Source organism: Homo sapiens, chromosome 10 (genome assembly GCF_000001405.40).
Source record: "Homo sapiens chromosome 10, GRCh38.p14 Primary Assembly".
Lineage (NCBI taxonomy): Eukaryota > Metazoa > Chordata > Mammalia > Primates > Hominidae > Homo > Homo sapiens.
This window is the reverse complement of record NC_000010.11, coordinates 77,955,608-77,982,873: the sequence shown is the minus strand read 5'-3', so window position 1 is coordinate 77,982,873 and position 27,266 is coordinate 77,955,608. Positions and strand designations below refer to the sequence as shown.

Here is a 27,266-nt window from a genome sequence, read left to right as displayed (position 1 = left end):
AAATAAACGAAGAACAACACTGGAATCAGTAACACCTACACCTGGCCATGTTGCAGGTGAACGCTGAGACAGTGAGATATTCCATCTGCACATCCAAGCTCCGTGTGAAGCCCGGTGATGTGGCTGTTCATGGTGAGGCTGTGGTGTGTGTCACCCCCAGAGAGAACAGCAAGAGCTCCATGTACTACGTGCTGCAGTTCCTGAAAGAGGATCTCCCCAAGGTGAAACAGAAGTCGCTTCTCATGGAGACCCAGCATCTCCCTGTGGTGTGACACCCAGGGCTGGGACCTAAGGGCTTTGTCACTTAGTCCGATTTCTTAATTTCTTCTTGGCCTTATCCCCAAGGAGTTAGTCTGTTAGATTCCTCTCTGTTCTATCAAAAAACTGATGTTAGGATGAGGTGCAGTCCCCTGAACAACTTCTGTTCTCCCTTATCCCTAAAACTAGCTCTAGTGTGTTAACAGATGACCACTGCTGAAAGCTGGGGTGATCAAGGTGATCAGCCCAGGGCATGGCTCACCCCGTCCTCACAGCTTTCTCTGTCTCTGAATCCAGGTGGTGGTGCAGGGCATTCCAGAGGTGTCCAGAGCTGTCATCCACATTGACGAGCAGAGTGGAAAGGAGAAGTACAAGCTTCTGGTGGAAGGTGATAACCTGCGGGCAGTCATGGCCACACACGGTGTGAAGGGCACCCGAACCACCTCCAATAACACCTATGAGGTACCACTCAGCCCACGGGGTCGCCTTAGGGTTAGGCTGTCTTCCTTGTGCCATCTGCAGGCCTTCCACTGATTCCCAGTATACTTCTTTTTTTTTTTTTTTTTTTTTTTTTTTTGAGATGGAGTCTTGCTCTGTTGCCCAGGCTGGAGTGCAGTGGCGTGATCTCTGCTCACTGCAAGCTCTGCCTCCCGGGTTCACGCCATTCTCCTGCCTCAGCCTCCCGAGTAGCTGGGACTACAGGCACCCACCACCACGCCCGGCTAATTTTTTTTTTTTTTTTTTTTTGTATTTTTAGTAGAAATGGGGTTTCACCATGTTAGCCAGGATGGTCTCGATCTCCTGACCTCATGATCCGCCCGCCTCGGCCTCCCAAAGTGCTGGGATTACAGGCATGAGCCACTGTGCCCGGCCTCCCAGCATACTTCTCTGACCATCCCATTTGCCGTGGGTCTGCAACTGAAAATTGCCCAGCAATCCATTTCTGGAAAACGGCACAGGGTTTGCTTTGAAACTGCAGGGCAGAGGAGAAAGTGGAGAGAATTTGCAGTGGCCTCCCGGAAGGGGCTGCTTCTGCTCATTACTGGCTCTCTGTAGGTGGAGAAAACTCTGGGCATCGAGGCCGCCCGGACAACGATCATCAATGAAATCCAGTACACCATGGTGAACCACGGCATGAGCATCGACAGGAGGCACGTGATGCTGCTCTCCGACCTCATGACCTACAAGGTATGTGGGCAGGAGGCCCCCGGGCTGCCTGGGCATCCCGAAACTCACTTTCAGGAGAATAAGCCTGTGGAGTTTCTAAGACATGTAGAATACGCTGCTGTGAGGACCATCATAGAGAGAAAATAAGATGTGAACATTGCTCAAAAACCAAAGTATGCTGGTCAGGCTGAGTGTCCTGGTGAAATCCCAGTATGAGAGTTACAGCCTCATGGCAAACTCATACCCAGTCGGTGGAGTGAAGAGAGCTGGAGCTTGGTTCCGTCCTCATCCTGAATGTCATCCTAAAGCAAAATTAGCCACTGCCAAAGCCCAGAGAGTCCCATGGCAAGTTGAGGTGTTTCTTTCTTATTAAACCCATCCATCACTCTTCTGTAGCCATTCCCAGGAAAAAATAAGTTAACATGATCTGAAGTTGGGGGCGGGAGGCTGAGGTGGGTTGGTTGGTTTGATTTTTTTTTTCTCTCTTTTCCAAAAAAAACGTATTTCCCTCTAGCTGTGCCTTAGGGCAGCAGGTTTTCATAAGGCTTCCCCAAACAAGTCGATAGAGTATTACAGACTATTTAGAAACCAGGTGAGGGAAATGGCCCATTTCCTACCACCCTGAGGCTGTCGGTTCGATGTCTTCTGTGAAGTCCTATTCTTTATGCATCTTTTGCTTTAGTCGCAGGAAACTGTGTGCATGCAGTTTTTGTTGTGACTTTTTGTTTAACATCACAAATGTTTTCCATCTTGTTTCATGGTTTTAATAAATATACTTTTTAAATTATGGCACAATATTCCTTTGAGTAGAATTACCTAAATTTAATTAATTCTCTTCATACTTGAGGTTTTTACATTCTTTTATTTTTAGTTCTTTGAGCCATAAGAAATCTCTTCAGAAATACTCCCCTTTTTTAAAGTTAGTCTCTGAATTCTAGTTCTCAATTCTTCTTTGTTCTGATGGCGTCTGGATGCGAGTGTGAAGTTTCATGTTGCCGACGATTGACCACCTCAATGGGACACAGAGGGCGGACCCATAGCTCCTCAGGGCCTTTCACACCTGACGTTGGGTCTTGGAGGATTTTTGTTGATTGTATTGAAGGTGCACCGTGCTTTGGTTTCGAGCTTTTGCCATTGGTGTGAGTACCACCGTGACTCTTTCTCCCTTGACGCAGGGTGAAGTCCTGGGCATCACTAGGTTTGGCCTGGCCAAGATGAAGGAGAGTGTGCTGATGCTGGCCTCCTTTGAGAAGACGGCTGACCATCTCTTTGACGCTGCCTACTTCGGGCAGAAGGACTCTGTGTGTGGTAGGTTTGATGTTTCTATGAACAGCATCAAAGGCCTTTACTATTTACAAATAGACCATGGCTAGGCTTCCAAGGGAATGAAAAAAACTGAGTGGCAGAGCGTTTATTTTTTCAAGAATAATGTCAATAGACACGAATTGGAACTGCTGGATCTTTTATCTCCAAATCCTGACTGTAGCATCCTGCATCCCCGTTTACATCTGTTGGATGACTTCCCTCTGTCAGCACAGATGGTTTTTGGTCCACGAAGCAAAGAGCAACCCTGGGCATGTAAGAATTTTTCTAGCCCTTGACTTTGTAGTCAGCCACACTGATCCTGACCCCTGTGTGTGACACCAGGGCTGACAGGAGCAGGTACTGGCTGGGCGCTGGGCAGAGCAGAGTGTCCTACTGTCCTTGGGAGGTGGCCATCAATGCCTGCTGAGCCCCTGTGCCAGGCATCATATGTGTCAAGTATCTCTACCCACCCGTGGGGTGTGGATATTAAGCCCTTTGACAAGTCAGAAGACCAAGGTGACCTCGCTTGCTGTCGAGTCCACCAGCAGAGCCTTGCTCTGCACCATGCCTCATCCCCGCCACTCGACAAAACATGGCTTTATGGGGCTGTGCTGGCCTGGGGGAGAGGGAGCACGAGGGGAACTCTCCCCAGTGTCTGGCTTCCCTGCCTCTTCCGTGAGACCAGCACTGACTGCTGAGCTTTGCTCGAGCCTTTCTGATTCCGCAGGAAGACCCTGCAGGCTTGGGGTGAGAGCTGGTAAGGGGCTGGGGTTCGAGAGGGCCAGCAACCTGCCCCGGGGCACACACCAGTCAGGCCCACACAGGGATTCCAAGTCTGGCTGCTGTTTCCAGGCCAGAGCTCTGCTTCCCAGTAGCCCTTTGCTCTCTCACCTCCTGCTCTTGTACAGATTGGCATCATTAGAGTATATACCCATTTTTTGCCTCTAAGATTAACTGTTTCTCTTTTCAGAAGGGACAGGGATTGGAGATGGAGGGAAATAAATATTACATAAGTCTTTAAGATAAAGAAGGGTGAGAGCGGGCATGGTGTTGCTATTGTCCCAGCTACTCGGGAGGCTGAGGCAGGACGATCACTTGAGCCCAGGAGTTTGAGGCCAGGCTGGGCAACATAATGAGAACTCGTGTCTATTTAAATATTTTTAAAATCAAAAAACAAGCGTGGGCCGGGCGCGGTGGCTCACGCCTGTAATCCCAGCACTTTGGGAGGCCAAGGCGGGTGGATCACGAGGTCAGGAGTTCAAGACCAACCTGGCCAAGATGGTGAGACCCCGTCTCTACTAAAAAAAATATAAAAATTAGCTGGGCACGGTGGCAGGCACCTGTAATCCCAGCTACTCGGGAGGCTGAGGCAGGAGAATCTCTTGAACCTGGGAGGCAGAGGTTGCAGTGAGCCGAGATTGCACCACTGCACTCTAGCCTGAGCAACAGAGCAGGACTCCGTCTCAAAAAAAAAAAAAAAAAACTAGCATGAAGGGAAAAGAAAAGGAGCAGCAGTTAGAATGGGGCCAGAGGGAGGTACACAGAAGACTGGAAGAAAGCCCAAGGCCAAGAGAAGAGCAAGTCTGCCTGACAATAGGGCTGAGACCCAGCACTCAAGCCTGACACCTGGAAACCGGGCCTTTGCCGCAGCTCTGCGGCCCCATACACCAGCACCTTTCTCCACCACCAGTCTCCTTGACTGCCTGGCACTGCCACCCCACCCCCAATTTGAAGTTTTCCCCTCCTCCTGGTCCTTCAGCACATTGTAACCCAGTGTTCGCCCTCATTGCATGTTGGTCTTTAATTTAGTTGTTTGCCTCTCCGGTTCCTTGGTAGCACAAAGTCTACAACACAGTAGCCATTTGCTTGCTCATCGTAGACTCAAGCCTTATGCCAGGTTGACATGGGGCTTGGAGAAAGAATCTGCACCACCCCCTTGATCCTGTAACTCTATAGGTGCCCTGCCTTCTGGGTGTTTCTCATCAGGGCTGTAGATCATGAAGGCTCAGATGCTCTTAAGCCTGGCCTGGCCCCTTCCCCTGAGCACAGCTAACAGCTGCCTACCGCAGTTTCCAAGGGGATTGTATTCTGCTCACTACTGTCCCAGTTGTTTGCTTTTCTTGGAGGCTCTAAGTTAAGGAAGCACTGGGTGGCAAACTTAGAGTTTCCTAAGCATCCTTCAGTATTCTTGCTAAGTTGTGTTCTCAAAGGCAGGGCCCTCCCAGGGTGCCTTTGGCTCAGGTGGGAGAGGAGAACTGGAGGAGCTGACTCTGTCTCCAACAAGCTCCTGGGCTGTGAGCAAGCCCTGCCCTTCCCTGAAAGTGCAGAATCCCCCTGTCTGCACTCCACAGCCACCCTTTTTAGATGGGAAGGAAAGGGATTTGCCAAAGTTCAGTTGATGTGGAGTGGCGCTGGGACTCACATCCTAATTTTCTGACACTTAAGCCAATAGTCTTTCTTCGTGAAAATGTACCTTGTGTTTAGAGGCTCTCTGATGTTCATTCTGGTTGGTTTCAGGGGTGTCTGAGTGCATCATCATGGGAATCCCAATGAACATTGGAACCGGGCTCTTCAAGCTGCTTCACAAGGCTGACAGGGACCCGAACCCTCCCAAGAGGCCCCTGATCTTCGACACAAATGAATTCCACATCCCCCTTGTCACATAGTCCAAAGAAAGAGGGGACCATGCCTGACCTTGACTCCTTGTCCTGTCTCCAGCTGATGTATAAAGAGTTTTGTGCTCCCTGGGACGGGGGTCCTGAGGTCCCCACCTATGCCAGCAATCAGAGAAGCCCTCTTGGCATCCCCAGGAGCAGCTTCTCCTCTGATAGGGTGCAGCTCACACCAGTGACCCTGACTGTGCCACGCTGCTCGGGAGAGCTGAGGGTTTTATTGTTTGCTTGCTTGAAACCTAATCTATAGACGGCCCCACAGCTCGTGCACACACTGCTTCCCTGGACTTAAAGCCCAGCCAGGTGTCATGGTCCATCCCAGCTCACTGCATACATCCATCGGCTCCCCATGGTGTCTTCACACCTGACGATGAGCCAGGCCTGAGCCCCACACAGGCCAGGGCACATTCTTGGATTTTCCATTCCTTGGTCATGCTGGAATCTCTCAATGTGACATACTTATGTAAATATTGTTACTATTATTTATTTGTTCCATTTGAGGGATTTGGAATTTTTGTTATTTTAGTTTTATTTTTGAAACCAAGCATCTATAGAAACCAAGAAAGTCAGCATGTAAGCGTCACTGGAAAAACTGGTTTAAGCAAATAGAGCCGTCTGGGATTTGTAACTGAGGTGCAACTGTCATGAGGCCCAGGCAGCTCTGTAACATCTTCTATAGATGCCCCTGGCTACCCTGTTGTTTTCATCTACCTCAGACCCCTATCATGGGGCTCTACCCTGTGACAAGAGCCAAACCCATTCTCCATGGCCTATGGAAGCCTCACTGGAGTTTGGGGCCTGCTGCAATGGGGATGAGATGGTTTTTTGTAGAATTATACTTACGTTCCTTGGATGATCTCTAGTTGATTTTTTAAGTTCTGAGTTGATGCTGTTAAGGTACCCGGGGTAGCCATTGGTTCTTGGATCTGTGTTAGAATGAGTGCTTTCCCTTCCTACTGATGTGATTGTGGATTAGGAATTCGTGACCGAGTGATTTTTGGCCAGTGGTTGGGTTTAAAATTCTATTAAAATTTGTAGTTTGGGCTGGGTGCTGTGGCTCATACCTATAATCCCAGCACTTTGGGAGGCCGAGGGGGGCAGATCACTTGAGCCCAGGAGTTCGAGAGCAGCCTGGGCAACATGACGAAACCCCGTCTCTACAGAGAATACAAAAATTAGCCAGGCATGGTGGCCCATGCCTGTAGTACCTGCTATTGGTAAGGCTGAGGTGGAAGGTTCACTTGAGCCTGGGAGGTGGAGGTTGTAGTGAGCCAAGATCGTGCCACTACACTCCAGCCTGGGCAACAAAGCAAGACCTTGTCTCAAAAAAAAAAAAGAAAAAAATTAAGCGTAAAAAAAAATTAGTTTTTATAAAAAATTATAGTTTGACCTTTTGATTTCCCTGCATCTACAAGGTAGACCTATTAACTTCTCTTGGGGTATCAGTGATGTGGAAAAAAAATGCCATTTTTCTTAATGTTTAACCCCCCTTTATCTTTGAATTGAGCTAGAGCCTGGTTTAGGACAAAGGATTAAGTTTGTTAATGAACACTAATTCAGGGCTTCTACTTGAGACCCCACCGAGATCACCAGTTCTCATGTAACCTGGGAAGAGCCATAAAGGGGTACCCCCCACCCCAACTGCCTTCCTGGAAGCATGCCTGGGAAGTAAGCTGTAGGCCTGATCCGAGCCAGGACCACTGGGATCCGTGCAAAGGCCAGGGGAGGGTAGAATTGAATCATAGGAGTGAACTCCGGCACCTGTTGTCTTCTGCGGGTGACGCACACTTTAAATGGAAGAGAGGTTGTGGCTATAACTTGTGGCTGGGAATAATAAAGATGGCACCGCCAAGGAGCCTCACCTTGCGTGAGTGAGTACTCAGTTGGGCGCTGCAGGGTCTGGAGTCTGTGTGAGACGTGTGTGATTGTGATGGGTGCGAATCAGCGTATAGCACTTGAGAACAAGGCAGACCTTGGAGCAGAATGGTTATGTGAAGGATCACATCACCCATGGGTAGGGGGGGAAGTCATACGTCCTGGAGGTGCTGGTCCTCCTCCTGGAACTGCCAGCCTTGCTAGGACTATCAACATCAACAGCATTGCCTGGTAAACCCTACTGTTTGTGCTCCCCACTGTGTCCCATGACTGGTGTTAAAATTCTCCCTACTTTGATCATCTGCCCTGCCCAGGCCTTGGGCTTTATGCCAGCACAGAGCTCAAAGGCCAGGTAGCAGCACATCCTCAAGCATGAGAGCTCAAAGGGTTACATTTGAGTCTCTGTACCTGCTTGGAAGAAATAAAAATACGTGTGAATTCCATCTCATCCATGAATAGTTACAAATTCTTGACTAGCATTCTGTCCAGTTCTTTGCCATTTTTACGTCTTTTTTACAAGGGAGATTAAAATAGCTCCTGACTCAGTTACAGCTCCCTGCAGTGTTCAGCACTTTAGGGGTGGGAGAGACATTCTGGAGTCCTTCAGTATATATATGTGTCAGTTAAACTATGGTGCCGTGTTTCTATTTCAGGGTTTATCCATGTGTATTCCCATTGATTCATGTCTGATTGAACCTGGCATTGTATGTTTACTTTTCTTGATTTTTGCTGTCTGTTGGCAGACCTCTTTATTTTTCAGCCAAAACCCAAGAGAGGAAATATTTGCGTTACCTAAAACTATAGCAGAATCATCCTTATGGGTTGTGAAAAAGGACGTTGGCCTTGTATGAGTTCTAACTCCTAGAATGAGAACCAACCCCCGTCAGGAGCTCACCTCTTCGGGTGCTGGAGGTCAACAGTGAATGCCCCAGTTACCCCCACCCCTGTGACTTAGAAATGTAGGAAATAAAGTGCCCTCTGAGATGCAGCTAATCCAGTCCCAGTAGGAGGCGCTGAAAGGACTCAAGTCTGGAGTCTGAAGGGCCGTCTGGCCAGGATCAGGTGCATAGCTTAACTTTTATTCATTCAACAAAGATTTAAGGCTTGCTACTTCCAAGGCACTGTTCTAGGTATTAGGGGTGCAGCAGTAAACACAATAGGTGAATCAGATGTTAATACATCTGGCCAGGCACGGTGGTTCACGCCTGTAATTCCAGCACTTTGGGAGGCCGAGGCGAGTGGATCACCTGAGGTCAGGAGTTGGAGACCAGCCTGGCCAACATGGTGAAACCCCGTCTCTACTAAAAATAGAAAAATTAGCTGGGTGTGGTGGCACGTGCCTGTAATCCCAGCTACTGGGGAGGCTGAGGTAGGAGAATTGCTTGAACCAAGGAGACAGAGGTTGCAGTGAGCCGAGATCACACCATTGCACTCCAGCCTGGGAGACAGAGCGAGACTCCATCTCAGAAAAAAAAAAAAAAAAAAAAAAAAAGATGTTAATACATCTAAAAGGAATTCCACAGAAGCGGGTGAAGCAAAAAGGCTCAGGTTCAGTGTGCAGAAGTGTGTCCAGCACACTCTGGGGTGGAAGCTGCAGATCAAGGGATTGTGCTCCCGTGGGCACATCAGGCCCACCAGGGTAAAGAAAGGTCCTTCTGTGGCTGCAGCCCTCTGGTTCCAACCCCTCCCACAGGGCCTCTCATGACACTAATTTGGCCTCCTTACCTTAGGCTTGGATTCTGGGGAGTGTGCCCTGAGCGAGGACACAAGCCTGCAGTCACTGGGAAACGTTGCCACCATCCTTTCCTCAACCTACTGGCAGTGTTAGCGTGTGAACATTTGAATCCATTAATATTTGCTACACTTCTGCTCTGTGCCAGGCAGTGCACTAGGCCCTTGGGGAAGGTCCCTGCATGAATGGAGCTTACCATCTGGTCAGGGTCATCTTGTTAAGAGCCTGAGTTCTACAATCAGTGTCAGGATTTAAATCCCAACTCCCCCTTTCTTTTTTTTATTTTTATAATTTTTTTTTTTATTTTAAATAGAGACAGGTCTTGCTATATGTTGCCCAGCTGGTCTCGAACACCTGGGCTCAAGCAATCCTCTCAAAGTGCTGGGATTACAGGCGTGAGCCGCCATGCCCAGCGTCAATTCTCCCTTTCCATCTGGTGCACATGAACAAATTACTTAACCTCTCCTTGCCTCACTTTACTCATTTATAAGCTAGGAATACTGTTTAGTAGTGTTTGACTCATTGGGTCATTGTGAGTTTTAAACGTGATTACACATAAAAAGGTCTTAGTACAGTGCCTGGCACATAATACACATTAAATGTTTGCAATTATTAATACAGTGACTTTTTTTTTTACTGAAAAACATGGTCTGTGAATTCACAACTAAAAACCAATCCCCTGGCTCTCTTTATTTGACCCTAAGTGGAGCTTGGTGGACTTGGGATCCAGCCTCCCTAGACATAATGACTACCCAGCTGTCTGCTCAATCAGTAGGTCGTGGGAAGTATTTTACATGGGGGGGGAGAAGGGTTCGGGAAGGGGATGGATGTGGCCACTGTGTGGTTGAGGGCTTGAACACTTTAATGCAGGCCATAAGGTAAGCGTGATCTCATTTTAGAGTCACAGGTAGTAAGACCAGAATAATTCAGACAGGCAGGTTTTTTTGTAGAGGTATGGATGTTGACAACAGCTATGTATTTAGATTATGTAAGAAGGTATCCCATAAGGGAGAACTTAACATTTTTCTCTCTCTTTAAAAGAATATATTAGGGCCGGGCACAGTGGCTCATGCCTATAATCCCAACACTTTGGGAGGCTGAGGCTGGTGGATCATTTGAGGTCAGGAGTTTAAGACCAGCCTGGCCAACATGGTGAAACCCCGTCTCTACTAAAAATACAAAAATTAGCCGGGTACTAGTGGTACACACCTGTAATCCCAGCTACTCAGGAGGCTGAGGCAGGAGAATCACTTGATCCTGGGAGGCAGAGGTTGTGATGAGCCAAGATCACGCCACTGTACTTCAGTATGGGTAACAGAGTGAGACCCTGTTAAAAAAAAAAAAAAAAGAAGAAGAAGAAGAATGGAACAGAAAATGGGTATGACAAGGACAGAGGTAGGAAGTGACCCTATGTTTTTTGTTTGTTTGTTTTCCCAGACAGGTTCATGCTCTGTCGCCCAGGCTGGAGTAGAGTGGCGTGATGATCTCGGGTCGCTGCAACCTCTTCACCTCCCAGGCTCAAGCAGTCCTTCCCATCTCAGCCTCCAGAGCGAGTAGGACTACAGGCACATTGCCCAGCTAATTTTTCTTTCTTTTTTTTTTTTTTTTTTTTTGGTAGAGATGGGGTTTCACCATGTTGCCCAGGCTTCACTCTGTTCTATTGTACCTTTCTAATTTTGTACCTTCTGAAGGTCTTGCCAGTTTTTGTTTTTTTTTTTAATCAATACCTAGCAGCCTGGGCAACATGGCAAAACCCCATCTCTACAAAAAATACAAAAAAATTAACTGGGCATCATGGCTCACATCTGTGGTCCCAGCTGAGGTGGGAGGATCAATTGAGCCCAGGAGGTGGAGGCTGCAGTGAGCCAAGATCCACTGCATTCCGGCCTGGGCAACACAGTGAGACCCTGTCTCAAAAAAATAAATCAACAGCTGATGGTAAAGAAATCCAGTCATCTTGGAGCAGACCCTGTCCGGGAAGGTACTTGAGTGTTCTCAAGGTAGTTGAGTGGTCCCTTCCAGTGATAGCAACGTAAGGCTGGTAGGCACCAGTCACCAGTTAGGACAAGGTGACCAAAAAATGCAAGTCAACAAGCCTGAAATACATAGGATTTTCTTTTCTGACATGAAAAGTCCACAGTAGGCATTCCAAGGCTGATACGACAGTTCACCAAGTTGTCGGGGAGGGACCCAGGCCCCTCCCAGCCTTCTGCTACACCACCCCTCCACCATTCCTCATGGTTCAATGTGGCTGCTGAGGTTCTAGGCATTCCAGCCAGGAGAAGGGGAAAGAGACATAGCACTTCCCTTTAAGGAAAGTTCCCAAAAGTTACTTGACACTTCTGTTTACATCCCATGAGCCAGAACTTACGTAGCCAAACCCAGCTCCAGAGAGGCTGGAAAATGTTTGGACTCTGGGTGGCCATGTGCCTAGCTAAAAATAGACGCCTCTGTTAGCAAAGAAAGAGGGGGAGGGCCACAGGAAGTGGAGGATGATCGTATCTCTGCCTCTGATGGGCAGGACCTTTCTTTTTTTCTTTTTTGGCTTGACAAAGGTCAGAATATCCCCCTAATCCCTCAGAAAAAAGAGACTGAGACCCTGATCCCTTCATTCTCCCTTTTCCTTTCCCCTTCTTGCAAATTTCATGCTTGAGTTACGGTGGGGTTTTTTTGTTTTGTTTTGTTTTAAATATATAAACTGACATTTAAATTAGATCACATTCCCTTTGCAGGCTGTTTAAAATGTTTCAGGGCTGATGGAAAATGTGACTGTCAAACATTCATTCAACAAATAACACTTTTTTGACCCCCTACTATATCCTGGCGCCAATACCAGGTCCTGGGTTTAGAATGATGAGCAATATTCCTATGGCTCTTTTCCTTGTGGAATTAATCTAGTCACAGCACTGTCCAGCAGTACTGTAGTATATAGTAATATAGATGACAGTAATTATGTAAGTCATATGTAATTTGTTTTTGTTTTTGTTTTTGAGATGGAGTCTTGATCTGTTGCCCAGGCTAGAGTGCAGTGGCGCAGTCTTGGCTCACTGCAACCTCCACCTCCTGGGTTCAAGCAATTTTCCTGTCTCAGCCACCCAAGTAGCTGGCAGTACAGGCACACGCCACTATGCCCAGCTAATTTTTTCATATTTTTAGTAGAGATGGGGTTTCACCATATTGGTCAGACTGGTCTTGAACTCCTGACCTCACGTGATCCACCCACCTCGGCCTCCCAAAGTACTGGGATTACAGGTGTGAGCCACCACTCCTGGCCCATATGTAATTTTAAATCTAGTATTGGCCAGGTATGGTAGCTCACGTCTGTAATCCCAGCACTTTGGGAGGCTGAGGCAGGAGTACTGCTTGAATCCAGGAGTTTGAGACCATCCTGAGCAACATGTCAAAACCCTGTCTTTACAAAGAATACAAAACATTATCCAGGCATGGTGGCACGCACTTGTAATCCCAGCTACTTGGGAGGCTGAGGTGGGAGGATCACCTGAGCCTAGGGAGAAAAAATGAGAAATTAATTTTAACAATGCATTTTATTTAACCCAACGTACCCAAAATGTCATTTCAACATGTAATCAATATAAAAATGACTGAGATATTTTACACTCTTATTTTCATACTAAGTTTTCCAATTCCAGTGTCTATTTTACACTTAGCACATAGCGAGTTTCACATGCTCAGTAGCCACATAGCCTAGGGGTTGGCCATTCAGCTCCTCCATTTACTCTCCAAGAACTTTCCAGTAAATGCTTCCTGGGGCTTAGGCTAACCAGAAATGATTTTCTATTTCCTGCTAGCCTGGCCCCAACCCTGAGACCTGTATGAAGGTGGATAGTCCACACTCAGAAAAGAGAAGCAGGATGGTAGTCATGGAAGCTGGAATCTGCCAAGGAGTATGGAACAACTCACCAGCCAAATGAACTCGTCCTAAAAATATGGATCTAATTTTTTTAAAAAAGAAAAGGCCAAGTGCAGTGGCTCACACCCATAATCCCAGCATCCCAGCACTTGGGAGGCCGAGGTAGATGGATCACTTGAGGTCAGGAGTTCGAGATCAGCCTGGCCAACATGGTGACACCCCATCTCTACTAAAGATACAAAAATTAGCCAGGCATGGTGGCATGTGCCTGTAGTCCCAGCTACTCGGGAGGCTGAAGCATGAGAATCGCTTGGACCTGGGAGGCAGAGGCTGCGGTGAGCCAAAATTGCGCCAATGCACTCCAGCCTGGGTGACAGAAGAAGACCCTGTTTCAGGGGGAAAAAAAAGAAAAAGAAAGGAAAGGGAAAAAACATGAAGAGAGCCCAGTGTATCCAGACCCGAGTCTCATCACCTTCTCAGGAAGCTTTTTGGGTTGTCCAGGCCTTAAGTAGGCCTGTGCTTCCAAACTTCATTTCTGGGAGGAGTGCCAGTGGGCTGGGGAAGTCGGAGGCTAGAAGAAGCCTGTTCTTGTACCTTGCAGTCTGTTCCACCACCGAGGAACAGGCCTGACCCGAGTGGCCTGCAGTAAAGCTCCGAGTCAGGGAGCATGGTATAATCACCTGACACTGGTGTTACAGGTAAATCACAATCTCTCCCCATAGACAACATGATCTTCCTCATGTACAAGATAAGCTACTTATTCAGTAAGACAGCACTCAGGGAAGTATGAATTTGCAGATCTGGTGATAAATCCACTGGTCTGGCAGAAATGGACCTGGACTGGGATAGCCATGACTCCAGTTCTAGCCACCTTTCTGCCTGCCATTAGCGGCATTGCCTTCGGCAGGCTGCCTCCCTTCTGCATCTGTTTCCCAGTCTATATAGTGGAGATTAAAGTCTCAGCCATGCATTTCTGCTTCCAAGCATCCGTGAGGCATCTAGAAGCTGGAAAGCTTTGTACATCGCTTAGGCAGAACACGCGGAGGGAGCTGGTCACTGCTGATGGAGTCTCAAGTATTGGCTAGCTCCTTCCATACCTCACCCTCTTACCTTTCAGGAATTGTCCTGGGACCTGAAGCTGAGCCCCAAGACGGTGCCTGGGACCCCCCCCCAACCCGGCCCTGGTGTCAGTGTGTGCCACAGCTTACCCTGCTGTTCTCTAGGCCCCTTCCCTAATACTGAAACTACTGTCTAACCTGGGTGGTTTTTTTTTTTTTGCATTTTGGAGGGGGGATGGGGAGAGGGGGGACAGTTTTGTTCTTTTTGCCCAGGCTGGAGTGCAATGGCATGATCTCAGCTCACTGCAACCTCTGCCTCCTGGGTTCAAATGATTCTCCTGCCTCAGCCTCCTAAGTAGCTGAGATTACAGGCACACACCACCATGCCCGGCTAATTTTGGTATTTTTAGTAGAAATGGGGTTTCACCATGTTGGCCAGGCTGGTCTCGAACTCCTGACCTCAGGTGATCCACCCACCTTGGCATCCCAAAATGCTGGAATTACAGGCATGAAGCACTGCGCCCGGCCATGGATGTTTTGTTTTGCTAATTGTCTGCCTCTCGCTGGTCGAATATAAGCTCCATGAGGACAGGGGTTTTGTTTTTTAATTCACTGCTGTATTCCCAATGCTTAGCACACAGTGCCTGGCACATAGTAGCCACTTTAAACACATCGGTCAAATAAATGAATATATGAAGGAGTGGATTCCATCTTAAATTCCCTTTTAGAATTTGACGTCAAGGAGGAGTGAGGGCCTTGGAGCCCAGCAGGCCTGGAGTGGAATCCCTGCTTGGTTACTGCATAGCTCCAAGTTGCCCCCATCCTGATCAGAGTTAAGATGTCCTGCTGGCTGCAGGGTCTCCCTATTTAAGGACTGCACAAGCATAACTGCCTGTTGTCCTCCCACCACTTCACAAAAGGCTCAATTCCAATTTTGCCCAAAGAGGGCCCCTCACAGGGCCAGACCAAGGGCATCGGGCTCTGACCACCATCTCCCACCTCCCCACATTTTCTGCCTTCGGGCCTGGGCCCCAACCCTGGCCCCAAACACAAGAGCCAGAGCCAAACACGTCTAGCATATACCACCACGGGTGATTTATTTAAGGGTCTCCAAATAATCGCTTAAGTGTCACCATGGCAACCTGAAGAGTTGCCATGGAGATTGGAGCAGGAAACGTCCCCATGGAGACCCCTGGGAGACGCTCTAGGAAATCATTACCAGGTGGAGGGGGCTTGGGAAGGGGGAGCTGGACAAATAAGGGAGGCCCACGGTTTGTGTGCTGCCACAAGAAGGGGGGTTGAAGGGGCAAAGTGGGAAAGACCAGCTTAGAAAAGCAGGCAAGTTAATGATCTCCAACTCTAAGGTCCCATGTGATAAATAACTTCCATTATATCCATAGAAGAGATCTGACAGAAAAGACAAGAGTCTGGTGGTAATGGTGGCCCCCAGGACGGGGTTGGAGAAAGAGGTTTCTTTTTCACGTTATACTCCTTTGTACTATTTGACTTTCTTTTATCATAGGCACTTAAATAGTAATTATTCCAAAATTAAATAAGTTATTTACTTACTATATTAAATATTTTATATGCTCAAAACAACCCCATAGGGTAGGTATCATCTCCATTATATGGATGAGGAAACTGCTGTTCAGAAAGGTTCAGAAAGTGGCCCACAAGGCCGGCAGTGGCGGCTCATGCCTGTAATCCCAGCACTTTGGAAGGCCAAGGCGGGAGGATCACTGGAGCCCAGGAGTTCAAGATAAGCCTGAGCAACAGAGTGAGACCCTGTCTCTACAAAAATATTTAAAAATTAGCTGGAGGTGGTGCACACCTATAATCCCGACTACTCAGGAAGCTGAGCTGGGAAGATTACTCGAGCCCAGGAGGTCAAGGCTGCAGTGAACCATAATCTCAACACTGCACTTCAGCCTGGGTGACAGAGTGTGACCCTGTCTCGAAAGAAGAAAGGAAAGAAAGGGAAGAAAAGGAAGGAAGGAAGGGAGGGAGGGAGGGAGGGAGGGAGGGAGGGCACAGTCATGGCGACAGTCTAGAATCAAACCCAGAGCTCCTTGTCCCCTGTGCAAGCATGGATTCTCTGGTCTCAACCCAGCTCTGCCACTAACATGCCAGGCACCATTAATTAAGTAACCCACATCCCTCTGGGCCTCAGTTTCCTCACCTGTCAGATAGTTTAGCAGTTTGGACTGGATGAAGATGAAGGTCTCTCTAGCTTGACATCCTGAGTTCACGAAGGGTTCCTCTCAGCACCATGGAGAATCACAGCTGTAGGTGGGGGGTGGGGAGTAGGGAGTGTGGTGACAGGGAGGAAAGGGGCGTGACAGCACCCCTCAGGGAACTTGAGAAACCTCTGGATTCTCCCTTTGCAGAGAGTATAAGAGAAGCAGGGAAGGTGAGCCACCAGGAAAGTGTGCATCAAAACCACACTGGAGCCAGGCAAGGTGGTTCCCACCTGTTATCCCAGCACTTTGGGAGGCTGAGGCAGGGGGATCACTTGAGCCCAGGAGTTTGAGGTTACAGTGAGCTAAGATTGTGCCACTGCACCACCAGCCTAGGCAACAGAGGGAGACCCTCTTTAAAAAAAAATTTTTTTTTTTTTTGAGACAGATTCTCACTCTGTCACCAGGCTGGAGTGCAGTGGCACGATCTCAGCTCTTTGCAACCTCCGCCTCCCAGGTTCAAGCAATTCTCCTGCCTCGGCCTCCCGGGTAGCTGGGACTACAGGCGTGCGCCACCACACCCAGCTAATTTTTGTATTTTTAGTGAAGACGGGTTTTCATCATATTGGCCAGGATGGTCTCGATCTCTTGACCTCGTGATCCACCTGCCTCGGCCTCCCAAAGCGCTGGGATTAGAGCTGTGAGCCACTGAGCCTGGCCTAAAAATTTTTTTTAAACATTTTTTTCAAATAAAAAAATTCGCTGGGTGTAGTGGTGTGCACCTGTAGTCTCAGCTACTCGGGAGGCTGAAGCAGGAGAATAACTTGAACCCGAGAGGTGGAGGTTGCAGTAAGCCAAGATTGCACTCCAGTCTGGGTGACAGAATAAGACCCTGTCTCAAAAAACAAAAAATAAAAATTTCAGCCTGGACAACATGGTGAAACCCTGTCTCTATTAAAAATTAGCCAGGCGTGGTGGTGCACACCTGTAGTTCCACCTACTTGGGAGGCTGAGGTAGGAGGATCAGTGCCTGGGAGGTCAAGGCTGCAGTGAGCCGAGATCGTGCCACTGCACTCCAACCTGGGCAACAGAGAGCCTGTCTCAAAAAACAGAATAGAAAAAAGAAATTTTTTTTGAAAAACACATGGCTGATGCCGGGCGCGGTGGCTTACACTTGTAATCTCAGTGAGTCAAGATTGCATCATTGCACTCCATCCTGGGTGACAAGAGTGAAATTCTGTCTCAAAAAGAAAACACCCACACACAATGAGATACCTCCTCACGGCCACTGGGATGGCTGGAATAAAAAGATGAACAATTACAAGTATTTGCAAGGATGTGGAGAAATCAGAACCCTCCTACACTGCTGGTAGGAATGTCAAATGGGGCAGCCACTTTGAGACACAGTTTGGCAGTTCCTCAAAAAATTAAACATATGGACACCACATGACCCGGCCATTCCTCTCTTAGCTAGTAGACACCCAAGACAAATGAAAATATACCTCCACACGAAAGCTGGCACGAAAATGTCCATAGCAGCATTATCCGTAGTACCCAAAAATGGAATCTCCCCAAAAGTCTATCAACTGATGAATGGATAAACAAAATGTGATCTGTCCATACAACGAAATATTATTCAATCATAGAAAGGAATGAAGTTCTGATACATGCTACAACATGGATGAACTCTGAAAACATACTATGTGAATGAAGCCAGTCATAGAAGACCACACAGGATCACATAGTAAATGATTCCATTCATATGGAATGTCCAGAATAGGGAAATTGAAAGCAACAGAGAGTAGATTATTGGTTGCCTAGGGTTGGGGGAGAGGAGAAATCAGGGTGAGAGAACAGCTAAGGCAGTGGTCTCCAACCTTTTTGCACCAGGGACTGGTTTCATGGAAGACAATTTTTCCACAGACTGCTGGAGGATGGGAGGTAGTTTCCAGATGATTCAAGTGCATAACAGTTTATTGTGCACTTTATTTATATTATTATTACATTGTAATATATAATGAAATAATTATACAACTCACCATAATGTAGAATCAGTGGGAGCCCTGAGCTTGTTTTCCTGCAACTAGACGGTCCCATCTAGGGGGTTTGGGAGACAGGGATACCCTAAGTGTGTTGCTTATGCCCAGTCTACTCCATAATCTCATTTTGGTTCACTGAGGAAAACCCTGCTTCACAAGGATAGGATGTTGGAAACGGAAGCAGGCTTTTCAGTGTTTTTCTGGCAGTCTCAGGACATTCTGCCTTGACTTTAATCCAGAACGTACAGAGACTTGAAGTTGTCTCAAAGATACTTTCAAGGCAGCTGTGCAACTGAAGTACATTGACTCACTTGCCACCATAAAACCTGCCACCAGATTCAGCTTAATTTTCCCTTGCCACTCACTGATGGGGATTTGATATGGGTCTGCAAGCAATTGATTTATGATGGTCTCTGTGCAGGCAAACTTCTCTGCTAACATTCATCTGTATTTGCAGCCACTCCCCAGGGCAAGCATCACCGCCTCAGCTTCACCTCAGATCATCAGGCATTAGATTTTCATAAGGGGCACAACCTACATCCCTCGCATGCGCAGTTCACAATAGCGTTCATGGTTCTATGAGACTTGAATGCCACTGCTGATCTGACAGGAGGTGGAGCTCAGGTGGTAATACGAGCAATGCAGAGTGACTGTAAACACAGATGAAGCTTCACTCGCTTGCCCACTGCTCACCTTCTGCTGTGCGGCCAGGTTCCTAACAGGCTGGGCTGTGGACCATTACTCTTACCAGTCTGTGGCCCAGGAGTTGGGGACCCCTGAGCTAAGGAGTTTCTTCTTAGGGTGATGAAAATGTTCTAAAACTGACTGTGGTGATAGATATACAATTATGCAAATATGCTAAAAGCCAGTGAATTGTACAATTTAAATGGGTGAATTGTATACTATGTGAATTATGTCTCAATAAAGATGTTTAAAAAGGAGAGAGGGATGGCACTGACCCAGGGCCACATAACCACTGAGTAGCCACCCCAAGTGCCCTGCCCCTGCCTATCCTTTTACTTTTCTGCTCTTGTTAAGGGGGACCAGAAGACTCTCCGTGGGGCAGCCTTGAAGACTGATTCTAAAATGAACGGGGGCTGGGCGCAGTGGCTCCCAGCACTTTGGGAGGCTGAGGCAGGAGGTTCACAGGTCAGGAGCTCAAGATCAGTCTGGCCAATATGGTTGAAACCGCATCTCTACTAAAAATACACAAAAATTAGCCAGGTATGGTGGCGCACACCTGTAGTCCCAGCTACTCGGGAGACTGAGGCAGGAGAATCACTTGAACTCGGGAGGCAGAGGTTGCAGTGAGCCAAGGTTGCACCACTGCACTCACTCCAGCCTGGGTGACAGAGCGAGACTCCATCTCAAAAAATAAAAATAAATAAATAAAAATAAAAAATAAAATAAAATGAACGGGTAGTCAGGCATGGTGGTGTGCACACGTAGTCCTAGCTACTTGAGAGGCTGGGGTGGGAGCATTGTTCAAGCCCAGAAGCTCAAGGCCACAGAGATCCATGATCACACCACAGCACTTTAGTCTGAGCAACAGAGTGAGACCCTGTCTCTCAAAAAAAAATTAAAAATAAAAATGAACTGGTGCCAGGTGATAGGGTCCCTCCCCACAATTCCCTTCTGCCAGAGCAGCGTTCTTTAACAGACTGGGCTGCCTCAAGATTTCACTTAGGAAAAGGGGTGCCCTGCCAGAGGAAAAGAAATGCAAAGGTTTGAAAGCCACTGACAGAGAAAGGGTTAAAAAATGATGGCAAAGGGATTCAGAACCTAGGCTTTGTCTTTGTATTAAGCATGTCTTTATTCTGATGTTTGACATCTTGGGGCTTTGCTGACCCTAGAGAAACTGCCCCTCCCATGGCTAGAGATGGTAAGGGACTCACTTGTGAGCATGCCTTTTGTATACCAACCAACCAATCCAGAGTCTATTTTCCAACTATTCCCTTTACAGGGCCCTTCCAGGGTTCTCACGCTCCAGGCCACTATTCCCCAGCCCTTACACCCCACTGACAAGCCCACTGAAATTATTCACAGTAGCCAATTCTAGGCCTGCTTCCTACCCTGCCTCGACCATTCCTTCCCTCAGAAACACAGCAAATGCTCCTGCCTACATTTTCCCCTCCCTGACTCTGCCTTCTGACCACCCTGAGGCCTCCACTCCTGGCCCTGCCTGGTATGACCCGCCCTCTCTACTTGGGAACTGTGAGTAACAATTATTCTTTCGATAGCAATCAGATCCTGATCTCCTGGCCTCACCATATGTGAATATAAATAAGATCTACATTTGAAAGCCGGCTACATGCTCCCTAGGCTTCAAACTTGCAAACTCTAGGCCCAGCGCAGGAGCTCATGCCTGTAATCCCGGCAGTTTGGGAGGCCCAGGTGGGAGGAGAACTTGAGCCTAGGAGTTTGAGACCAGCCTCGGCAACCCAAGGAGACCCCATCTCTACAAAAAAAAAATTTTTTTAATTAACAGGGTGTGAGGCCAGGTGCGATGGCTCACACCTGTAATCCCGGCACTTTTGAAGGCTGAGGCAGATGGATAATTTGAGGTCAGGAGTTCAAGACCAGCTTGGCCAACATGGTGAAACCCTGTCTCTACTAAAAATACAAAAAAATTAGCCAGGTGTGGTGGCACGTGCCTGTAATCCCAGCTACTCAGGAGGCTGAGGCAGGAGAATTGCTTGAACCTGGGAAACAGGCTGCAGTGAGCCAAGATCATACCACTACACTCCAGCCTGGACAACAGAGTGAGACTCTGCCTCAAAAAAAAAGAAAAAAAAAATTAACAGGATGTGGTGGTGCATGCCTATGGTCCCAGCTACTTCGAAGGCTGAGGTGGGAGGATGTCTTGAGTCTGGGAGGCCGAGGCTGCAGCGAGTCACGACGGTGCCACTGTACTCCAGCCTGAGCAACAGGCAAGACCCTGTCTCAAAAAAAAAAAAAGTTAAAAAAAAATTTGCAGACTCCTCACCTCTGTGCTTCGCTTTTCTCACCAGTAAGGCTGGGTTGCCAGCCATGCCTGCCTCAGGGCTGTCATGTAGAATAGTGTAGGCTGTACCTTGTGCAAGGGAGCCATGCCAAGGACCTGAGTGGGGCCTCCAATGTGCTCCCTACTCTGCTGTCCAAGCTGGAGTTTTGCCAGGGAAAATGTGCGTCTTTTCCTCATTTGTAAAGAGGCCCAAATGGGACAGCAGTGGCCTTGCCCACCTCGTGAGGCTGCAGTCAGAACAAAAGCAGTAGAGTCCTGGTGCAGCACTTGGCACTCCAGAAGTGGTGTCATCAGGGTCTCCATGGGGAGCAGGGGGCACCTTGAGATACTACATCAACTTCTAGGAAGGCTTCCCTTCTCTTTTGTTTGGGGTAGTGGGCGGCTGTATGTATATTTCAAGTCAATTTTATTAAAGTATCAAAAGAAGGTGACCCGAGCTGGTACCCAGGCTACAAATGAATAGATAGTTGCACACCCATGTCCACAGCCACATTATTCACAATAGCCAAAAAGCAGAAGCAGCGCAAGTGTCCATCAAAACAAAATGTGGTCTATACATATAGTGAAATATGATTCAGCCCTGAAAAGGAAGGAAATTCTGACACATGCTACAGCATGGATGGGCCTTGAAGACATTATGCTAAGTGAAATAAGCCAATCACAAAAGGACACCTACTGTGTGATTCCACTTATATGACATACCTAGGGCAGTCGTATTGGTAAAAACGAAATAGAATGGTGGTTGCTATGGGTAGGGGGTGGGGGAAATGGGGAGTTATTGTTTAAAGGTGCTGAGTTTCAGTTTCGTAAGATGAAAACAGTAAAACGGTTCTGGAGATTGGTTGTACAACAATGTGAATGTACTTAATTTCACTGAAATATACACTTAAAAGCAGTGAAGATAGTACATTTTATGTTACATATATTTTACCATACTTTTTTGTAAAGGCACAGCCAAGTCATACTTCCCAGAAAAACCATGCATATGGGAGTAATTACTGTCCCTGCTCTTGTCCTATAGAAAAACGGCTCAGAGACCGAGCACAGTGGCTCACTCCTGTAATCCAGAAGGCTGGGAGGCTGAGGCTGGTGGATCACTTGAGGTCAGGAGTTCAAGACCAGCCTGGCCAACATGGTGAAACCCTGTCTCTATTAAAAATACAAAAATTAGCAGGTGTGATGGCGGGTGCCTGTAATCCCAGCTACTCCGGAGGCTGAGGCAGGAAAATCACTTGAACCCAGGAGGTGGAAGTTGCAGTCAGTTGAGATTGTGCCACTGCACTCGAGCCTCAGCAACACAGAGAGACTCCATCTCCAAAAAAGAAAAACGGCTCAGACAACAGTAAGCCGTCTTTAAAGTGTTTCTCAAATAGTAAGTTTCCATCACTCCGCTGGACTTCCCTGGGACTGGCCCAGGCTGTGCACTCTCTCTGTCGCCTTGTGGGACACTTGCTCCCTTGCCAACACCAGCTATTATCACTTCATTATATGCACATGTATTTATCTATGTATGGGCATTTATCAATTTGACAAGAGAAAATGTTATCTATTTTATTTTCTTTATTTATTATTTTGAGAGAGGGCCTTGCTCTGTCACCCAGGCTGGAGTGCAGTGATGCAATCTCAGCTCACTACCATCTTCCACCTCCGGGGCTCAAGCCATCCTCCCACCTCAGCCTCCTGAGTAGCTGGGACTACAGGCACGTGACACCATGCCTAGCTAATTTTTGAATTTTTAGTAGAGACGGGTTTTGCCATGTTGCCCAGGCTGGTGTTGAATTCTTGGGCTCAAGTGATCTGCCTGCCTCAACCTCCCAAAGTGCTGGGATTACAGACATGAGCCACCGTGTCTGGCCCTATCTGTTTTAATTTTTACTTCTTTGTTTACTCCTGAGGTTCAGATTTTCTTGGCTATTTTTCTTTTTTCATGAGTTGCCTGTCCTTAAGGCTAAGAGAGCAACCAGGAGAACAAGTGTGTTCACTTAGCGTTCTCAGTCCCACAGGTGTGTCAGACCTCATGGCCCTGTTTTTAATAACTTGCATTGTTTTTGGCGCCAAGTGTATTAATCAGAGTTCCTGGTAACAAGAAATAGAAACCAAATCTGGTTAATGAAGTGGAAAAGCTTTGTTTTGTCATGTTTTTGGAAACATATCAGGCAGCTCACAGAATCATCAGGAAGGCTGGAAACCCAGGATGAGAAAATGAGCAAAAAACAAGGGTTACTGGCAGCAGAGTCCAGCTGGATCCCACCCAAGGCATGGTCCGGTTAGGACACTGGGTTCCATGCCAAGGGACCCGGTGCTGCCTCTGCCTCCACTACCCAAATAACATTCTCCCGTTTTTCTTAGCAGGAGCATCCAGTGAGCCACACTGACCACCACAGAGCAAGAACGGGGACAGTGAATATCTATCATTCCTGTCCTGGGGAACAAGAAGCAAGGGGAGGCCTTCACACAGTGGAGGAAGGGGGATTTAGACGCTGGGCTGTCCAAAAGATGCTGACCACCAAGTTTATGAACTACTTAACAGGGTACAAAGCATCTTCCTGTCCATAAATAGAGCTATCAGTGGCCATCACATATTGGATGTTGCTACGTAGAAGGCACTCAGCTGAGCATATGATATGCTACATCATTAACTCTTCTAATGATCCTCCAAGATTGGTATCACTCTCTCTGTTTTGTAAATAAGAAAACCAAGCCCAGAGTGATTCCATCACTTTCCCCAGGCACACAGTAAATGTCAGAGCCAAAATGCAAACCCTGCTCCATCTGACTCTAAAATCACACCCTGGCCAGGCGTAGTGGCTCACGCCTGTAATCCCAGCACTTTGGGAGGCCGAGGCAGGTGATCACGAGGTTAGGAGTTCGAGACCAGCCTGGCCAATATGGTGAAACCCCGTCTCTACTAAAAATACAAAAATTAGCCAGGGGCGGTGGTGGGCCCCTGTAATCCCAGCTACTTGGGAGGCTGAGGCAGGAGAATCACTTGACCTTGGGAAGTGGAGGTTGCAGTGAGCCGAGATCGCGCCACTGCACTCTAGCCTGGGTGACAAAGCAAGACTTCGTCTCAAAAAATAAATAAATAAAAATCACACCCCACAGGGCCTCCCAGGTAGTTGGTTTGACAATCACAACATCCTACCACCACTCACCCCCCAGGAGTGGCCAGAGGCTACCCAATGAGGAAGTGGCAGAATACAGCACCACTAGATTCATTCTCTTTGGATTATCTTCAAGATACCAGGAGAGCTCCAAATACAAGGGCTCTCCTTATTGCCATAAGGAAGAGACTTTGGTGAAGTGTTTTCTGCATGTTCCCCGTTTTAGCCAGCATGTCAAGAAAATGTGAAAAATGTGTATTTAAAAATCTATTTTAGGTCAGGCTAGGTGGGTCATGCCTGCAATCCCAGCACTTTGGGTACTTCATTTGAGGTCAGGAGTTTGAAACCAGCCTGGTCAACATGGTGAAACCCTGTCTTTACTAAAAAAATACAAAAATTAGCTGGGCGTGGTGGCATGCACCTGTAGTCCCAGCTACTCGGGAGGCTGAGGCAGGAGGATAGCTTGAACCTGGGAGGTGGAGGTTTCAGTGAGTCAAGATTGTACCACTGCATTCCAGCGTGATTGACAGAGCAAAACTCCCTTTCAAAAAAAAAAAAAAAAGGTATTTTAAAGCCTCTGGTTCTAGGTCTGATGGAGGTGTCTGATGGAGTAGTGGGTATCATATTTATCTTTCCTTGGCCTCTGCTGTGGGTGAATATAAAGCCCGGACAAAATATAGTAAATAACTCTTTGCAGATATGCAACATCAACCAGTACAGGGCTATGGTCACTAAGAGAGTTCACCCCTGCTTTCACGCTGAAGACGTTTTCTTGACTATGGGAAACAGTGTCCAAGGAGAGACTAGCAGTGTTACTAGCTGGGGAAAACAGATGAGAGTGAAGGCTGCTGAGGCAACAGGGATTTCGGGGAGAGGAAGCAGACACAGAGCAGAAACCCAAAAATTCTGCATAAAAATCCTTCTTGAGACACAAGGAAGCTTTTTGAGGGATAAAAATATTCTATATTTTGATTGTGGTGATGGTTACACATGTGTTTACATTCATCAAAAGCCATTAAACTGTGCTCTTAAGATGAGTGAGTTTTATTGTAAGTATATCAATATATTAATTACATTTTGTATTTATTTATTTTGAAACAGGGTCTCGCTCTGTCACCCAGGCTGGAGCACAGTGGAGCGATTACAGCTCACTGCAGCCTTGTCCCCTGGGGCTCAAGTGATCCTCCCACCTCAGCCTTCCGAGAAGCTGGGACTACAGGTGCAAACCACCATGGCCAGCTAATTTTTTAATTTTTGTAGAGATGGGGTCTCCCAGTGTTGCCCAGACTGGTCTCAAATTCCTGGGCTCAAGTGATCCTCCTGCCTCAACCTCCCAAAGTGCTGGGATTACAGGTGTGAGCCACCACACCTGGCCAGTTTTTATTTTTGAAGAATGCCTTTGTCAAGCTCACCCATCATCACCAACACTCTGAATGAACATTAAAAAAAAATTGCCCTAGACCATTTCCTAGTAATTTTACTAAGGCAGTGATAGTTACAATAGGCTAAAATACGATGAGATTGGCATTGCTCATCTTAAATCCCAACGTACTGTATTTTAAATCAATAAAGTTATTGTATTTTATTTTGTTTATTGAGTTGGGGTCTCCCTCTATTGTCCAGGCTGGAAAATAGTGGTGCGATCGCATCTTGCTGCAACCTTGACCTCCCAGACTCATGCAATCCTCCCACCTCCGCATCCCGGGTAGCTGGGACTACAGGTATGCATCACCAAGCCCTGCTAATTTGTTAATTTTTTAATAGAAATGCAGTCTCACTATGTTGCCCAGGCTGGTCTCAAACTCCTGGGCTCAAGTGATCCTCCATCCTCAGCCTCCCAAAGTGCTGGTATTACAAACATGAGCTTCCACACCTAGCCAAAGTTGATTATTTTATTTTTTTGAGTTGGAATCTCACTCAGTCGCCCAGGCTGGAGTGCAGTGGCAGACTATCGGCTCACTGCAACCTCTGCCTCCTGGGTTCAAGTGATTCTCCTGCCTCAGCCTCCCAAGTAACTAGGATTACAGGCTCAGACCAATACGCCCAGCTAATTTTTGTATTTTTGCAGAGACAGGGTTTTCACCATGTTGGTCAGGCTGGTCTCAAACTCCTGGCCTCAATTGATCCACCCGCTTCAGTCTTCCAAAGTGCTGGGATTACAGGCATGAGCCACCGCGCCCAGCCAGAAGTTGATTATTTTAAAATTCTCCTTCTTGAGGCTTCGCTGACTCCTAAACTCCCATACACAGGGCAAGACTCTGCAGATGGAGTAGAGAATAGCCTCTGCAGCTAGACAGCTGAGTTGAAGTTTCAGAGGCTTTTCAGGGCTAGGAGAGTTGGAGTTTGGCCCCAGCCAGAGTAGAGAGACCTTGGCGAAGACCTGAGGTTTTCACTTGAGATCCTAGAAAGATCATACACACGCAGAGTGGGCCATGAGTTAGCAATGGGAATGGAGACAACTATGCCCTCTTGGAAGCTGGAAAACAAATGAATAAGTGGCAACTAATTTAGCAGATCCAAGAGAGCTGAGTCCTAAACTGAACAGGAGAAGAAGCTAAAAGTAACCAGATTTACTCTGTGGAATTTCCAACAGGCTCAGGAATTGGCACCAGAATTAGAGGTGAACGTGGGGCTTAAGAACAAGAGAACTGTTTGAAAATTTAAGAAAAAATTATATACCCCAAATGCCCTCCCCATATCCTGCCATCCAGAAAATTGGCGGGAGATTAAAGTTTATTCCCAGGAGATGGCTGGGCATGGTGGCTCACACCTGTAATCCCAGCACTTTGGGAGGCTGAGGCGGGTGGATCACTTGAGGCCAGGAGTTCGAGACCAGCCTGGCCAACATGGAGAAACTCTACCTCTATAAAAAATACTAAAATGAGTGTGGCATGGTGGCATGTGCCTGTAGTCCCAGCTACTCAGGAGGCTGAAGCACAAGAATCTCTTGAACCCAGGAGGCGGAAGTTGCAGTGAGCCGAGATCATTCCACTGTACTCCAGCC

General features: G+C 47.4%; 1 protein-coding gene across 1 annotated transcript in view, besides 2 other annotated features; it reads left to right on the top strand.

Moving 5' to 3' along the window:
* The window catches only part of POLR3A (RNA polymerase III subunit A), a 54,367-nt gene extending 46,642 nt beyond the window's left edge, over positions 1 to 7,725 (top strand). Inside the window, exons 27-31 of the mRNA NM_007055.4 lie at positions 57 to 221; positions 556 to 720; positions 1,315 to 1,446; positions 2,601 to 2,733; positions 5,248 to 7,725. Coding sequence (NP_008986.2) covers positions 57 to 221; positions 556 to 720; positions 1,315 to 1,446; positions 2,601 to 2,733; positions 5,248 to 5,396 — 744 coding nt within the window. The 3' untranslated portion in view covers positions 5,397 to 7,725. The remainder of the gene's footprint in view (positions 1 to 56; positions 222 to 555; positions 721 to 1,314; positions 1,447 to 2,600; positions 2,734 to 5,247) is intronic.
* Positions 11,256 to 11,766: an enhancer, noted in NCBI's record as "H3K27ac hESC enhancer chr10:79730866-79731376 (GRCh37/hg19 assembly coordinates)". NCBI's record gives its function as "activates a minimal SCP1, AML or CMV promoter by ChIP-STARR-seq in naive H9 embryonic stem cells {active_cell/tissue: H9 hESC(naive)}" and the evidence as "EXISTENCE:reporter gene assay evidence [ECO:0000049][PMID:30033119]".
* Positions 11,329 to 11,623: an enhancer, noted in NCBI's record as "tiled region #9595; HepG2 Activating DNase unmatched - State 5:Enh, and K562 Activating DNase unmatched - State 5:Enh". NCBI's record gives its function as "activates a minimal TATA promoter and a strong SV40 promoter by Sharpr-MPRA in HepG2 and K562 cells {active_cell/tissue: HepG2 | K562}" and the evidence as "EXISTENCE:reporter gene assay evidence [ECO:0000049][PMID:27701403]".